This window comes from Homo sapiens, chromosome 2, assembly GCF_000001405.40.
Source record: "Homo sapiens chromosome 2, GRCh38.p14 Primary Assembly".
Taxonomy (NCBI): Eukaryota; Metazoa; Chordata; class Mammalia; order Primates; family Hominidae; genus Homo; species Homo sapiens.
In genome coordinates this window covers 27818967-27837309 of record NC_000002.12, presented here as the reverse complement: position 1 = coordinate 27837309, position 18343 = coordinate 27818967, and the positions used below count along the sequence as shown (strand labels likewise).

The 18343-nt window shown below is 40.8% G+C and overlaps 1 protein-coding gene across 2 annotated transcripts in view; it reads left to right on the top strand.

Moving 5' to 3' along the window:
• RBKS (ribokinase) overlaps nt 1-18343 on the top strand; it is a 109009-nt gene that overhangs the window by 53078 nt on the left and 37588 nt on the right. For both annotated transcript variants that reach the window (NM_022128.3, NM_001287580.2), the window contains 2 exons: nt 4533-4624; nt 9555-9743. In NM_022128.3, the coding sequence (NP_071411.1) occupies nt 4533-4624; nt 9555-9743 (281 nt within the window). The remainder of the gene's footprint in view (nt 1-4532; nt 4625-9554; nt 9744-18343) is intronic.

The window sequence follows — 18343 nt, the reverse complement described above, 5'->3', positions numbered from 1 at the left end:
TTGTTTTTTGTTTCGTTTTGTTTTGTTTTGTTTTTTGAGATGGAGTCTCGCTCTATCGCCCAGGCTGGAGTGCAGTGGCACGATCTCGGCTCACTGCAAGCTCCACCTCCCAGATTCACGCCATTCTCCTGCCTCAGCCTCCCGAGTAGCTGGGACTACAGGCACCTGCCACCATGCCCGGCTAATATTTTTGTATTTTTAGTAGAGACAGGGTTTCACCGTGTTAGCCAGGATGATCTTAATCTCCCGATCCTCGTGATCTGCCTGCCTCGGCCGCCCAAAGTGCTGGGATTACAGGTGTGAGCCACCTCGGCTGGCCCTTGACTTTTTAATAATAGCTGTTTTGACTGGTGTGAGATGGTATCTCATTATAGTTTGATTTGCATTTCTCTGATGATGAGTGAAACGATGAGTAGTTTTTCATATGTTTTTTGGCCCACTCGTGTATCTTCTTTTGAGAAATGTCTGTTCATGTCCTTTGCCCATTTTTTAACAGAGTTGTTTTTTGCTTGTCGATTTATGTAAGTTCCTTATAGATTCTGCATATTAGACCTTTGTCAGATGCATAGTTTGCAAATATTTTCTCCCATTCTATAGGTTTTCTGTTTACTCTATTGACCATTTCTTTTGCTATGCAGAAGCTATTTAGTTTAATTAAGTCCCACTTGTCAATTTTTGTTTTTGTTACAGTTGCTTTGGGGGACTTAGCCAAAAATTCTTTGCCAATGCCAGTGTCAAAAAGGGTATTTTCTAAGCTTTCTTCTAGGATTTTTATAGTTTGAGGTCTTACATTTAAAATATTTAATCCATCTTGAGTTAATTTTTGTATATGGTGAAAGATAAGGGTCTAGTTTCATTCTTCTGCATATGGCTAGCCAGGTATTCCAGCATCATTTATTGAATAGGGAGTCTTTTCCCCATTGCTTGTTTTTGTCGCACATGGCCAATCTTGTTTTATCTGTATCCTGCCTCATGGCTCCCTACCCCGCACTGCCACCTTGAATTATGTTGAAGCAAAACCCAGATGTTATATCATTTCGTTTATAGTATACCTGTTTTTTGATGTAAGATACTATTATTAGTAGTAGTATTTTTTGAGACAGAATCTCACTCTGTCACCAGGCTGGAGTGCAGTGGCATGATCTCGGCTCACCACACCCTCCGCCTCCCAGGTTCAAGCGATTGTCCTGCCTCAGCCTCCCAAGTAGCTGGGACTAACAAGCGCATGCCACCACGCCTGGCAAATTTTTGTATTTTTAGTAGAGACGGGGTTTCAGCATGTTGGCCAGGATGGCCTCGATCTCTTGACTTTTTGATCTACCCCCCTCAGCCTCCCAAAGTGCTAGGATTACAGGCATGAGCCACTGTGCCCGGCCAGATACTATGTGTTTTAAGAGTAATGTCTTTACCTCATACAGCACTTAACCTGTAGTCAAATTTAGTCCTATCAGCTTTTTATAACTAATGGCTCATTAGTTTGGTGAGAAACCTCTCCGACATTTTTTCCTTCTATGTAAGTGTATAAATGTAAATACACATATAGTTATGTGTGCTTGTTATTTGTTCTTATTAAAAAGGGGAGGTAGGCCGGGCACGGTGGCTCACACCTGTAATCTTAGCATTTTGGGAGGCCAAGGTGTGAGGATCGCTTGAGCCCAGGAATTCAAGAACAGCCTAGGCAACATGGCAAAACCTCATCTCTACCAAAAAAAAAAAAAAAAAAAATTGCCCAAGCATGGTGATAGGCCCATTAGTCCCAGCTACTTGGGAGGCTGAGGTGGGAGGATCACTTGAGTCTGGGAGGTGGAGGTTGCAGTGAGCCAAGATTGCGCCACTATACTCCAGCCTGGGTGACAGAGCCATCTCAGAAAAGGGGGGGTGGGGTGGGTGGGTAGTACAAAACTTCCTTGTTCACTTATAAATAAATTATAGAAATCTTTCTTGATAAACGGAGATCTACTTTACTCTTTTTAACAGCTGTAGTGATCTACATCAGACGTGTCATAATTCTTTTTTTTCTTTTTTTTTTTTTTGAGACAGAGTTTCGCTCTTGTTGCCCAGGCTGGAGTGCAATGACGCGATCTCAGCTCACTGTAGCCTCCACCTCCCGGGTTCAAGCGATTCTCCTGCCCCAGCCTCTGGAGTAGCTGGGATTACAGGCACGCACCACCATGCCTGGCTAATTTTTATACTTTTAGTGAAGACAGAGTTTCACCATGTTGGTCAGGCTGGTCTCAAACTCCTGACCTCAGTTGATCCACCCGCCTCAGCTTCCCAAATTGCTGGGATTACAGGCATGAGCCACCACGCCCAGCCTATGTCATAATTTTTTAAACCAATCCCCTTTAGTAAAAGTTTCTTTTTGTGTTTTCTATTGCAAACAGAGCTGTACAAACAACATTGTATATCATCTTTGCATGCTTATGGATTTCTGTAGGATGGGTTTAGAAAAGGAATTACAGGATCATGCATCTTTGAGGGAAAAAATTGATCTTTTAAGAATGGCTCTACCATGTTGTTCCACACTTGTAGCTTTGCTCTAATCTGTGCTCAAATGCTGATGAATGTAGATTTGTGGATTACACTAGGTGAGCAGTTGTTTCCATTTAATGCTTGAGGAAAACTGGGAACAGTATATTGTTCTGAAAACCTAAAAAGTTTAAGTGAGTGTGTTAGAATACTGGACAATGAGAGCCTTTATGTGTAATTGACATCTCTAAGACCTCTCAGAAGTGAGAGAACCAATGAGAGAGACTGTTGCCAGGCTACAAACTCCAGCAGAAGGCAGAAGAGATGGGTAGACAGGCGGGGGTGTTGGGCTATCTGTAAAGGACAATATAATAACAGTAATAATCCTTTACATTTGTACAGCAGGTTAGATTTTACACTGGGCTTTTACATCCATTTTCTAATTTAAGCTGCACAATAACTCTATACAAAAATCTGAGCAGCCAAAAATATACCATAGAATTTCTGTGGGTGGACATTCTGGATTCTGAAATAACAAAAATGTGGGAATAGTGTTAGCCTATACTGGACAAGACCCACTGACTGAATCAAAATGCTAGGTAAGACCAAGGAAGGTGCAGAAGTAGACTAGATGTCCTCACCAGGCTGAAGCAGTAGACAGTTTCCATTAGCCACGTGCTGATTAGCATCTCCCCAAGAATGTGGAATGCATTAGTGCCAAGCTGGCTATGTGAGAGCCTCATGGAGAACTTGTGAATATGCAGATTCCCTGATCTTACCCCCAGAGATTCTGATTCAGTGGGTTTGAGGTCAGTCCTAGAAATTATGCATTTTAACAAGCTTTCCTAGTGATGCTGATAGGCAACCAAGTTTGCAAAGCACTGTTATTGAAGTCTCTGAGAACTGCAGCTAGAGATTTTTACACTATGGGTCTATAGTCAAATGAGACTACTTAACACGCAAGTCAGTGGACCTGGGTTGAGAAAAAGAAGACTAACCAATCTAGTACTCAAGTGAATTAGTGCTTTGACAAAGAAGGAGCTTCCTATGAATGTAATTTCTAAAGACTTGAAATATATATATATCTACATTTACGAAGTCCCAAACCAAAGGGTGTTTTAAAATATTGTGAATTGGCATTGAGGTATGTGTTGGTGTGGACAGAGTCCTGGCCTAGAGAGGCCCCTTTTTCTAGAGTGGACCAAACCGTGAACTTAAAGCCAGAGGACCCTGAGTAGGGGTCCATCTTAATTGTGTCCCAATGTATGAACTGAGACATAGGACCTCATCTTTCTGAGCTTCACTTTCCTCCCTCTGAAAAATGGCCATGATATTCTCATTTCCCTGTGTCTGCTATTCCCATCTATCCTTCTCTTGTAGCCTCTCCGTCTGAGCTAGCACCAGCCTCTGACTGAATTCCTCCTCCTTTCTCAATCTTTTTTTTAATATTCCCAGATTGCTCACAGAAGCCAAGAATGTAAGCTTTTGTGTAAGTGCATATGTTTGCAGGAGTAATTGTGATATATTTGGGAGGCATACATAGGTGTACAAAATATGCATACGCACATGAGCTTCCCGCTTACTGTTCCCACCGGGAGAATTCTGAACCTTTCATTGTTTATTTTCTATCGTCTCTTTTTCTTCCCTGGAAAATGGGTTTATGAACTAGCCTTGAAACCAAGCACTTAAAGTAACCCACAAAAATGTCCACCAGCCTGTTCACATTCACACATGCCCTTTCATGCCACAGCATTTTTACTTTTCTCTAATGTTCCTGTTGCCTTTGCCTTAACTCTATAATCACGTTGACTGTTATATTGCTCTTTTCCCTGGAAGCTGAAATGTTGTAAAGTACAAAGTAAAGAAAATGGAAATAGGGAATTGGTACCCAGCTGTCGTGAAGATTGAGATTTCAGACTTTTCTCTACATCCGTAACTAAGTGGATATTTAACCAGATGAAGACAAAAACGAACTCGGGGATTTTCCCTACTGAATGTTGTCTGTAAATGCACCATGTTAAAAATGAAAACTAATAATAACCCCCTTTTCCATTCCTTTGTAGTGAAAACCTTGTTCAATCCAGCCCCTGCCATTGCTGACCTGGATCCCCAGTTCTACACCCTCTCAGATGTGTTCTGCTGCAATGAAAGTGAGGTAAGGGTGAATTGCTTTGCTCATTCTATGAGAAACCAAAAGTTTGTACAAGTGGATAAAGCAAAGGGGCAGAACTAACCACATCAATTTGATGACGTGAATTCTCAGGCATGGTGAAAACAGATTTTTTCAGTTTACCGGGGTGTGGAGAAAAGGAAATTAGTAAATCCTAGGGGGGAAAAAAGGATTCTCTGAGTCACTTCCATATTCTGGCACTTATCAAACCTCAGTTAATTTTAGTCCCTTCCTTGCCCTCACACTGTTGGTGTTTTGTTTTCTTTTCTAATTATTTCATGTTCTGAGGACTATATTAAAGTTGCCAGGTTTAGCAAGTAAAAATGCAGGATGCCCAGTTAAATTTGAATTTCAGATAGATAATAAATAACATACCTAACAAATTTATACTGTAAAATTACCTGTCATTTATCTTAAATTCAAATTTAACTGAGCTTCCTGTAGTTTGTCTGCCAAACGCTAATTAGTATACAACTCCTGGAAGATCTGCTACATTCTGTAGTGAAGACCCTGTGTCATGATGTATCATCTGAACAGACTATCTATCAACTGGTACAATAAGAAAGGATATTGTACCACCCTTTCTTAAATATTGTTGGGAAGAAAATTTCAATATTTCTCCCTTTTTATAAGCCAGACAGCATTAGAACAGAGCTCTCGCCCATCAATGGGATGCAGGTATACACGTTAGTAAAGGCAACATGGAGAGAAAGAAATTAATGAACCATAATAGTTAAATTTCTACTTTTTGTTTTTGAGACAGGAACTCACTGTTTCACCCAGGTTGGAATGCAGTGGTGTCATCATGGCTCACTGCAGCCTCTACCTCCCAGGTTTAAGCAATCCTCCCACCTCAACCTCCCAAGTAGCTGGGACCACCACGCTTGGCTAATTTTTTTATTTTGTGTAGAGACGGGATTTCGCCATGTTGCCTAGGCTAATCTCGAACTCCTGGGCTAAATCAAGCCTCCCAAAGTACTGGGATTACAAGTGTGAGCCACTGTACCCAGCCTAATTTTCCATTTGGTTTAAAGTCTATATGAAGGCTTTTAGGATTTCTTGACCTGCTTTCTTGATAATTTCATCTCTCAAAACATAGAGGAAACAAGAAAGAAGACTGCTACAAAGAAACTAATTTTAACAAACCACAATAGGTTATGCAATATTTTTGAGCAACCACCATGCTAGGAAGAAGGAATTGTGGGAAATAGCGATCATTTCACAATAAGAGGTTAGAGTACCCTCAACTGCCAAACTGGCCTAAATTTTCCTGCTAGATACTTGAAGAGCACTCTATTTATTCCTCAAATGTTCATCACAGCTCAAATTACTTATTCAATTCTTCTGTCTTCTCCATTAAATTACAAGTTCCATGAGGTCAGAGACATCTGTCTTATTCACTGTTGTATCCCTGATGGCTATCCCTGTGTATATAGTTATCTATTGCTGCATAATAAAATACCTCCAAAATGTACTGGCTTACAACAGCAATAATTATTTATTGTCACTCTCAGTTTTTGCATGTCAGGAATTCACACAGGGGATAGCATGGTTTGACTCTCCCACGCGATGCCTGGGGCTTCAGTTGGAAGACGCAAAGGCTGAGAGCTGGAACTTTTCTTCATTCACCTGCTTGACAGTTGATGCTGGCTTTCAGCTGGGGGCATAATGAGGTTGTTGGCCAGAACATGTAAACATGGCCTCTACGTGTGACTTGGGCTTCCTCATAATATGGTAGCTGGGTTTCAAGATCCAGCTTCCCGTGAGAAGGAGACACAGAAGCCATGTTGGCTTTTATGAGTTAGCTTCGGAAGTAACACGGCATCACTTCTGACTCATTCTATTGATTTAAGCAGGAAGGTCCACCCTAGTACCCCACCCCTTACTAGAAGATTGTCATTGGCACAGTGTAAAACCAGGATGTGTGATATGATATAGGTTAATACAGTTATCTTTGGAAAATAACATCTGCTACACTGTACCTGCACATAGCTGGCACTTAGTAAATGCTTATGAAATAAATAAATGAAAGAACTCTGGTCTTTAAGGAAACTGGTCTCAGAAACTTAATGGAAGAAAGAAAAACATTAAAAGCTTAATGTTCTGGAGCCAGGCGCGGTGGCTAACGCCTGTAATCCCAGCACTTTGGGAGGCCAAGGTGGGCAGATCATGAGGTCAGGAGTTCAAGACCAGCCTGGCCAACATGGTGAAACCCCGTCTCTACTAAAAATACAAAAATTAGCTGGGCATGGTGGCACGTGCCTGTAAGCCCAGCTACTCAGGAGGCTGAGGCAGGAGAATTGCTTGAACCAGGACCTGGGAGGTGGAGGTTGCAGTGAGCCAAGATCAGGCGGCTGCACTCCAGCCTGGGCTACAGGGAGACTCTGTCTCAAAAAAAAAAAGCTTAATGTTCTTATAGATGAACTCTAATCACAGCAATAATGTAAATTCATGCTTATGATACTCACTCTGCTCCAAACACAAACCACTGATATGTAAATACTAATGGACACAATGAAAAGATACTTACAAGCTCTAAAACAAGATAAATAACTCCACAGATCAGAAATGGAACAGCCTCACAGAGCATTCAGCCCTTGATATGCTGGCTGTACACTAGCCCCAGAAACAGGCAGAAGTGGCAGGAAGTTCACCCGCTGTGGGTCATGGATACTAAAAGTGTGCCATTTATAGCGGACTGGAGCCGAGCCCACAGATGGAAACCATACATGCTAGGCTGTGGCTCCCCTGCTAACAGTGAAAGGGGGAGGAACCTGCTACCCCTGCTGCCTGAAGCATATTTAAGGCCCCCAAACTGAGGAGTTAGCAGGACAGAGACACAGCCTCTGACCAAGAAGTAAACCAAGCCAACCACTGACTTAGTGACTGGACTGGCAGTAGCCCCAGAAACAGCAGAGCAAGAACTCCCTATTGCCAATATAATACCTGGTTTTGGTTTAGAGACTCTTGTGTACCTGGGGGAAGCTACTGTAAAACCACTGAGGGCTGGGCGTGGTGGCTCACGCCTGTAATCCCAGCACTTTGGGAGGCCAAGGCAGGTGGATCACGAGGTCAGGAGATCGAGACCATCCTGGTCAACATGGTGAAAACCCATCTCTACTAAAAATACAAAAATTAGCCAGGTGTGGTGGCATGCACCTGTAGTCCCAGCTACTCAGGAGGCTGAAGCAGGAGAATCGTGTGAACCTGGGAGGCACAGGTTGCAGTGAGCCGAGATCTCCCCACTGCACTTCAGCCTGGGTGACAGAGCAAGACTCTTGTCTCAAAAAAAAAAAAAAAAAAAAAACACTGAAAAGCAGGGATCAACCAGGTGGGAACTGATGTGTGACAGCTTTCCAACTCACAGTAAGTAAAGTGAGCCTGCAAATGAAAAACATAATGCTACAAAATTCACCCAGCACAATCAACAACCTACAGATGAATTTGCCCAAGATGAAATTCATATAATAAAATTCAGCCAGGCGTGGTGGCTCATACCTGTAATCCCAGTGCTTTGGGAGGCCAAAGCAGTTGAATCACATGAACCCAGGAGTTTGAGACCAGCCTGCGGAACATAATGAGACTTCATCCTGTCTCTACAAAAATAAAAGATTAGCTGTGTGTGGTGGTGCATGCCTGGAGTCCCAGTATTTGGGAGGCTGAGGCAAAAGGATTGCTTGAGCTTAAGAGTTTGAGGCTGTAGTGAGCTATGATCATGCCACAGCACTCCAGCTGGAGTAATAGAGCAAGATACTATCTCTAAATAAATAAACAATGCAAAAAATACTTTAAATAGTATAATTAAGATTAACATTCATTATGAAAGAAGAAAAAATTTTGTGAAAGAAAAACAGAATCAAAGCAACAACATGTGAATATGAAAAACAACCAATTAGAAGTCTTGAAAACCTAAAAAGTCATGGAAATGTTTTTAAATCACTCAGTAGAAAAATAAACATTAGAATGGAATGAAAAATTAGTATATTGAAAGAGAAATTGGGAGAAAAATATGGATCTTGTTGAAAGCCCCCTGATTTTACAGATTGTAATTGGTGTGGGGAAGGTCACAGACTGAATGAGTAGGAGAGGCCTCCTGAATGCCAGGGCATTGCGTTTTCTGCTACCTGTCATTACCTCTCCTAATCTGCTTCCATCTTCTCTGGCAAAAACAAACAAAAGAAATAAGTAGTCTGCAAACATGGAAAGCAAAAACTGGAAATTTGAGAAGAGGCATTATGGCCCAAGAGAGGCTTGGAAGAATTATGTCCTTAGGTGCCAAACTTACAGGTGCAATTTATGCTAAAATTCTTGGCAGTGGCCCTTTCCTTTCTCCTTTCCTGCCTCCCCTCCAACCTTCCTTTTTCTTTTTTTTTTGGTAGACTTCTCTTTGTTGCCCCAACTCTTTGTTAAAATTATTATATGTGCAGAAAAGCTGAATGAACACTCTACATTTCACCTAAACATTTGCTAACATTTTGCTGTATTTGCTTTTCCTCTTCCCTGTATGTATTTAGTTTTGTTTTTGTTGAAAAGTAAGTGGAAAAAAAAGTATTTTGTTGTTGAGAATAAGTTGCAGACAACATGATGCCTCACCCCAAATACTTCGGCATACATCTCCTAAGAGGAAACACAATACCATTATCACACCTAGGAAGATTGTCAGTAATTCCATGCTATCATCTAATATCCAAGCCACATTCAAATTTCCCCAGTTGTCCCCAGAATGTCTTTCATTGATGGTTTTTGTCATCACTGTTATTGCTTTATTTATTTTCCTGTACCAGTATCTATCAAGGTTCCCATTGCATTGGTTGTTATAAAAAAGAAGGGAGACATTTTCTAGAAAAACGCATCTGGAAGTGGATTCAGGTTACTTATTTTCACCACTGTTTCTGTTGACTTTTGTGTATTCTAGGCTGAGATTTTAACTGGCCTCACGGTGGGCAGCGCTGCAGATGCTGGGGAGGCTGCATTAGTGCTCTTGAAAAGGGGCTGCCAGGTGGTAATCATTACCTTAGGGGCTGAAGGATGTGTGGTGCTGTCACAGACAGAACCTGAGCCAAAGCACATTCCCACAGAGAAAGTCAAGGCTGTGGATACCACGGTAAGTTTTAAAATTTAAGAATCATGTTTAGCCTTTGAAAATTGTTACTTAGTAACTAATTAGATGCTGTACCTGAATTTTTGGATAATGAAACAAAGCCCTAGTAAGTGATATGGTAAAAGAGAAGAACAACCAGGCAGGGGAACTGTATTTTAATCCCTCTCTAACTCTCTGTGGGACTTTATGCAAGCAGCTTGACCTCTCTGAGACGTAGTTTCCTCATTCATAAAATCAGAATAGCAGTAAAATTATACCTGTGTTACCTGTATTCATTCATTTATCCAGTCATTCATCAACAAATAGGGATTTGTGGAATACCTATCATGTCCCAGTCATATGATAGTTGCTGGGGATATAGCAATAAATAAGGCAAAGTCTCTGCCCTTGTCGGGCTTAGATTCTAGGCAGTGAACAAGTAGCTGTGTCTTACAAGCTTCTCCAGTGAAATGAACAGCAAGGAGCACTGGTTAGCAGAGATCATTCTTTTAACCAACAAATTCTAGCAGCTAACATTTACTGCATGCTTGCTGTGTCTCTTTTGCATACATCTCATTTAATCTTTTTTTTCATTTAATCTTTAAACAATTCTGTGAGACAAGTATTATTTCCATTTTACAGAAGAAGAAATTTGTACAGGATCACATTGCTGGTAGGTAACAGAGCTGGAGATTCGAAACTAGGCATATGGACTCCACACAGACATTTTTTATGTAAGGTACTGTGCTGAGGACAAGTGTGCTAAGTGAACAAGCCATGGCTACAGAGTAGGAATGAAAAGGAAACAAGTTAGAAAAAAGACTCATGGTTCCCCTAAAGCTGGGGAAACACAAATTGTTTGTTTATTGTTAGAATTCAGAAGAGCTTGCCAGGCGCCACTTCACACTTGTAGTCCCAGCACTTTGGGAGGCTGAGGTGGGCGGATCATGAGGTCAAGAGATCGAGAACATCCTGGCCAACATGGTGAAACCCCATTCTACTAAAGATACAAAACTTAGCTGGGCATGGTGGTGCACACCTGTAGTCTCAGCTACTTGGGGGGCTGAGGCAGGAAAATCACTTGAACCTGGGAGGCAGAGGTTGCAGTGAGCCAAGATTGCACCACTGCACTCTAGCCTGGCAATAGAGCGAGAGTCCGTCTCAAAAAAAAAAAAAAGAAAAGAAAAACAGATTCAGGAGAGCTGACTAGAAAAGTAAGTAAACTAGACTTGAGGAAGAATAAACATTTTAGAGTTTTTATTTAGAAGAAACAGATAATTATTCATAAAATATGTTTTGGTTTGTTTTTATGCTTAGAAGCGACTTTAAAATGTGGGTCATTATGAAAAAAGAAGGCTGAGGGGATCTGATGAAGTTTTGGATGTGAATATACTTTGAAAAATATTCAAGTGCAAGAAATGGTTATGTGACATGAAATTAACATCCTGGTTGCCTTTCAAAATGTGCTTTACCAGGTATTTGATAAAGTGTGCTTGGTGTTGCTATTCTCTTCATATTTAGTCATTTCTGAAACTATTAGTTTATTTTCTGTTTTGTCAAGGACAAGAACCTGAATTTGAGGGGATCCTTAGTTCTGAAATCAATCCGCCATTAGACTAACACTACTTTCACTAAAGTGAAAAGACTCTATGCATCTCCTGCTAAAAGTAAAATGAGGATTCCTCAAAGACCTACATGGATGCACAGAAGTGGCTTAGCCCCTATTCTCAGTGTCCATGTTAGTTACTATCCCTTTGGGTTGTAAGCACCAGAAGCACAACTCAGGCTTATGCAGGAAAAAGGATTTATTTGGTGCACATAATTGCAAAGTGTAAAGATATGGCAGAATGCAGAGGCTGAACAGTGTCATCCAGGCAAGTCAGGTCACTTGCTCACTGGCTCCCTCCCTGTCAGCTCTGCCTTCCTCATAGTGGGCTATGAGCTCAGGTGGGTCCACTCCCTACCCACGCTGTGTCTCATGTCATGTCCCTGTCCCTGGTTTCAGATACAAATCACTCTTATCAGAGGATAGGGAAGTGGATGCTGACAAGAAAACAGTAGAATGTCCAGTGTGTTTTAATATATCTAGAGATTTTTCATTTTCTTGCAGAATTTGAAGATGAACTATTAATTGGTACATAGGAAACTGAGGAAAATGTTTAAGTAAAGCAAATTTTCCCTTCTAGGTCATCTAGAACCTAAGGGGAAAAAGTATGATTAAGTGAATATAATCTTTGTACATGACGTGGCTATAAATGCTATAAATGCATAGTCATAACAATGTAAATGCTAATTCTAGATTTAACCAGAAATGGAGATTAGAATAATATTGTGAAGATGGGAGGATAAAGTGAGTGTGCATTTGCACATGGGGGGACATAAGAAAACTAAATGCTTATTTTCCATAATTGGAACTCAAGAGATAATATCTAAAATTGACTTTTTTTTTTTTTTGAGACAGGTTCTCACTCTGTTGCCTAGGCTGGAGTGCAGTGGCTCCATCTTGGCTCACTGCAACCTCTGCCTCCCAGGCTCAGGTGATCCTCCTGCCTCAGTCTCCCAAGTGTTTGGAACTACAGGTACACGCCACCATGCCTGGCTAATTTTTATATTTTTAGTAGAGACAGGGTTTTGCCATGTTGCCCAAGATGGTCTCAAACTTCTGGGCTCAAGCAATCCACCCACTTCAGCCTCCTAGAGTGCTGGGATTATAGGCAATGAGCCACCATGCCCAACCCTAAAACTGGTTTTCTAAAAGCAGTATAAGTGTATTGCCAGAAACATCAGATAATTACCAGAAGAAACCACTAAAAGAATTTAAAGTATTTGCCTCATGAAAATGGGAATGGAGAGGGATTGGGCATTTATACTTAAGCCTTACATGTGTCCACAAAAACTTGTATGTGAATGTTCATAGCAGCATTATTCATAATAGCCAAAAATTGGAAAGAACCCAGTGTTTATCAGCAGATGATGGATAAACAAATTGTGGTATATCCATACGATGGAATATTATTCAGCCATTAAAAAGAATACTGATACATACAACAACATGGATGAACCTCCAAAGCATTATGCTAAGTGAAAGAAGCCAGACACAAAGTGTTAACATATTATATGATTCCATTTAAATGAAATATTCAGAATAGATCAATCCATAGATACAGAGCATAGATGGGTGGTTGCTAGGGACTAGGGGGAGGAGGAATGGGGAGAAACTGCCTAATGGGTAAGGAGTTTTACTTTAGAGTAATGGAAATGTTTTGAAACTAGATAAGAGGTCGGTGATTGTACAACATTGTGACAATACTAAATGCACTGAGTTATTTATGTTAAAATAGGTGAATTATTAAATAATTCTTTTTTAAAAGGAATGAAGTACTGATTCATGCTATGACATGGATGCACCTTGAAAACATACTACTAAGTAAAAGAAGCCAGGCATAAGAGGTCATATATTATGATTTTATTTCTATGAAATATCCAGAATAGGTATTATAAATCCATAGAGACAGGAAGTCAACTGATGGTTGCTGGAAGGGGATGGAGAGTGACTACTAATGAGTATGGAGTTCCTCTTTGGGGTGATGAAAATGTTCTGGAATCAGTGGTAATGGTCGGACAAGCTTGTGGGTAATACTAAAGAACACTAAAGCATACCCCTTTAAAGAGTGAATTTTATGATGCATGAATTATATTTCAAACAACAACAAAAAAGCTCCACCTAAGCAATTCACTTATGAATGGATATTCGTGATAAAGACTCTCCACTGAATTGCCCTGCTGAATATGCGTGAATGGACTCTCAGCATCCCCCAGGTGGAGCAGCAGTGACACTGACAGGAACCAGGGTAGTGATTTTCTGGGTCTAGAATCTTCCTCATCTTTTTTATGCTGTCTTCGTCCTCTCATCCAGCACTTTCATTATTAAAATTCTTACCTGTTCTGCACACAGCTGTGCAGCCTCTTCATAAATCTGATAAAGAGAAGGTAATTCACGTGGCGAGTGAGGAGCTCCCAGGGAGGCATTTTCTTCTGAACAAATGGGCTCCTTCACTTTTCTGTCAGGAGGGTATTACTTGCTCTCAGTCGGTTTGTAACCTTCTCGCTTTTCTCTTCCTCCTAATCCCTTATTAAAAAGTCAGGGATGACATGGGTGCTGGAAACATCTTTAGTTGGCATGTTGTCCACTCAAGGCAGACAGCCTGCCTAGAAGAAGCCATTTCCCGTTCTACGTCAGTGCTTCTGCAGACTGCTATATTCAGTTTTGCCTCACTGTTAATAGTTGAATATATCACTTCTATTTTTACATCTGTTTTTCCCGTTGTACTAGAGTGAGATGGTGGCAGTAGCTGCAGATGTCCTCAGCTCAGTTTGGAAGACATGACAGATGTGTCTCTTCTCCCATTTCTATATGTTATCTGAATCTCAGCCTCCAAATGACAGAGAGTGCATGTCCGCCCTCTCTTCTTCCAACCTGAATGTTAGGGGGTTTGCCTGCTTGCATTTGGGATTGCACTGAGTAAGCACTCCATAGTCAGAGACACACACCTAAGCATGGTATATTTTAGGATTATTGTGCTACTGTGATATATTATAACATTAGTTATCCCTGCTTTATAAGCACTGAAATTCTTGACATATAAATTGCTTTTCTTTATGTAAATGGTTAAGTCCTGGAATCTACAATAACACTCTCAAGAATTTAGTCCGTAGGCTAAATCTGTCTTCTCAAGAATCACTCACTCTGTAATAACGCATGGGTATGTAAGTAAGCTGAGAACAAACAAAAGCCAGGGGCACAGGGAATTTATCTTTCCTATTCTTTATTCTCCTTTCTTTCTATCCTTCACATTTGAGTCCTATAGTGTTCAGAGTTGCTGATGAGGCACTAGGCAGCAGCAGCCAGCTGCATGGGTGTCCCATAACTACTCAGAGCTTGAGAGTTAACTCTAAATTAGGATTGCACCAGTAAGAAGTAGAGATAATTTCTGTTAAAGTTTGCACGGAAGCACTTTCTTAGGATGAGGTGATTGCTGGGGCTGGCAGGTTACTTGCAGGTTTCCCAGGTGGCCTCTTGTATTCCTCTCATCCTGGGGTCTGGCCCGCGGCCATCCCGGCTGTCTCAAGGATGGGGTTAATGGACCCACCTTTTAGGCCCTATCCAGACTGACAGTTCAATCTTTGAAAACCTAGCATCTGAGGGGCCATCATTCCCAACTTGGTGTGACCTTTCCTCCACCCTACATTCTCCTCTCCCCACCCTTGTCACTGCCACCAGTAGAAAGTCAAACTAATATTGCAAAATGTACTCAGAACTAATGAATTGAGGTGATCTCAAGAGGTGTTTCTCAACCCAGGCAACATGAGGCCCTGTTCCCTGCTTAGCCATAGTCCTGCTGGGAAGACTGAATACTCAGCAGTTCTTGCATGGGTACTGCCAGTACTAGTCTCCGTGACTTTCCTTGAACTGTGTTTCCCCAGCAGACTCTTCTTCTTCTTCTCATCTCCTTCTTTCTGATCAACATATACTTTCTTTGCATGTAGTAATTAGTTGAGTTTCTGAGGGGATTTATGGCTCAAAAGCCATTTTGTCCTTGAATAGAGCCTTTGCACATTTCTGTCCAGAAGCTTCTGTTATAGCCAAGATGTTTCGGTGTCCCTTACTGTTTACTGGCAACACTTGAGAAAGGGCTGGGTGGGTAAAATAATATGGTTTAAAAAATGGTCGAATCTTGGGTGCTGAAGAGGTAAAGTAATAAGGCTAATTTTGAACTGCACTGTCAATTTTTCTTATCCAAGAAGTGACTGTTGTTTCCTTCAAACCCTGACTTTAGGAGACTTACTCTATTGACACAGCTACTACTCAAAGTGCCTTTGGAAATCCTCTGTTAGAATTGCCTTGAGAGCCTTCATTATCACCTTTATTCCACTAATCACTTTATTGGGGCTTTTCCTACTTGTGAAATTAATACATACTTTAGTGTTCAAGGAGGGAAGGAGAGCAGCAACACAGAAAGGTATAAAGAAGAAAGTCAAGTATCCATGACCCATCCACTTAAAAGTAATTGTTAACCTTTTGGTGTAAATCTTTCCAGATTTTTTTCTATGCATAGTCATACACTTTTGAATATCTACTTACAGCTAATTTGAATATTTGCAATATTATAGGATTAATATGTGTAATTGCACATATTACAACAAAAAATTACAACTAAAAAATAGTGTAATTACAACTAAAAAAATCAAGTATTTCCCTAGAATAATATAAATAGGCAAGTCACTGAATAAGAAATACGAAAAAAATAAAGAAATGAGACAATGCTTAACCTCATTAGAAGTCAGGATTATACACATTAAAATAACAGTGAGGTCCTCTTTATTACCCATAAGTTTGGCCAAAATTAAAATTTGAGAATGTTTAAGTCCAAATAGATCACAAAACAAATATTATACAATCATGTAATTCTGGTGGGAATGTAAATTTGTACAGTGTTTCCAGAGGGGAAATTTGACAGTACTAATCTTTTTTTTTTTTTTTTTTTTTTTTGAGATGGAGTTTTGCTCTGGGTGCCTAGGCTGGAGTGCAGTGGCGCAGTCTCGGCTCACCGCAACCTCTGCCTCCCCGGTTCAAGCGATTCTCCTGCCTCAGCCTCCCAAGTAGCTGGGATTACAGGCATGCGCCACCACTCCCAGCTAATTTTTTGTATTTAATAGAGACAGGGTTTCACCATGTTGGTCAGGCTGGTCTTGAACTGACCTCAGATGATCCACCCGCCTTGGCCTCCCAAAGTGCTGGAATTATAGGCGTGAGCCACCATGCCCAGCTGACAGTACTAATCTTTAAAATATACTTTCCCTTTGAAAATAGTAAATCTTGGCTGATCATGCTGGCTCACACCTGTAATCCAAGCACTTTGGGAGGCCGAGGCAGGAGGATTGCTTGAGGCCCAGAGTTCAAGAGCAGCCTGGGCAACATAGCAAGACCCTGTCTCAAGAAAAAGAAAGAAAGAGAGAGAGAGAGAGAGAGAGAGAGAGAGAATAGTAAATCTCCTTCTAAGAGTCTATCCTACAAAAATGCTCACATACACAAATATTTGTACAAGAATGTTTAATTCAACTTTGTTTGCAATAACCAAAAATTGAGAAGGTGTGTCCTCCTAATCATCAATAGGAGAAGGGCAAATATGAATAATAATGTAGTGCCATTTACTTGAAAGTAACTCTCTAGCTATCTCTAAGTAAATGCATATTTTAAAATCTGGAAAAAACCTCACCAGCTGTTATGATCATTATTCCTGGGAAGGGGTATAGGCTGGGGAGAAGGTGTTATAAAGGGGGACTTCTGTCTACTCCATACTCTACTGAATTATTTGAGTTTTTCCATAAGCCTGTATTTTTCATGTATTACTTTGTAATTTGAAATAAATGTGACTTTGGGCATGACCAAAAGCTATTTGGAGCCACATCTAGCAAATAAGATCGGTGATATCATTTCTCTGAGGGTGTACTGGGCATTATCCTCACAAAGAACCTCTCAAGCAGTTCATAATCTTCATGTAACTGGGCCGAGGAGCCCCTTGACGTAGGATAAACTCTGAATGGATGGACTCCTAGTGCCAAAAACTTAGATCTCCATTACCTTCCTATTGAGGGCACTTGAGGCTCCTTCTGTCTGGTAGTTTGTTATATACTTTGACAGGTTTTTTTCCTTAATCTTTTTAAAGAAACCATTCCTCAGAAAACATGTTATTTTATACAGTTCTTCTTGGAAATACCAGAATAAATGTCAAAGCATCACTGTTTCTGTTCGTCATTCAAATGTACAGCAGATCTTCAGACAAATTTTCCTCACGTTCAGGTTTTCTGAATGAATGAATCTGCTTATAGATTTCCATTTAACTCTTCAACCCTCAGTCTCACAATTAATCATAGCTTGAGTGATATTAACTCTGGCTTTTGCCACATTGCTTGGTCTTCAGTTGATGGATTATCTGGAGTTGTAAAAGGGATCGGCCAATAGGTGATGCCTCATGTTTAGGTATTTGGTAGTTCACGTACTTCATCTCCCATTTGAAACAGTCCTGGATGGAATGGTTCATGAAAGATGGAGGAACATGTAACACCATGCTGTGGACTGAATTGCGTTCCCACCAAAATTCATATGTTGAAGCCTTAACCCCCAATGTGACTGTATTTGGAGATAGGAAAAGAAAGTAATTATGGTTAAATGAGGTCATAAGGGGTAGGGTCCTGGTTCGATGGGAGAGAGCTCTCTCGCTCTCTCCCTTTTTCTCTCTCTCTCTGTGTGCACACAAAGAGTCATGTGAGCACACAGCAAGATGGTGGCCACCTACAAGCCAAGAGAAGAGGCCTCAGAATGAAACCTACTTTGCCAGTACCTTGATCTTGGACTTCCCAGCCTCCAGAACTGTGAGAAATAAATTTCTATTATTTAAGCTATTCAGTCCATGGTATTTTGTCACAGCAGCCCTAGCAGCCTAATACACACAAGGAATCAAGTGAATGTGCTTCAGAAGTGACCTGAAGTGAATGCTAGAAAATTGGCTGTTCTGTAAGGAGAAAGTAATCCAAAGCAAACTAAGAGGACTGGCCTAAATCAT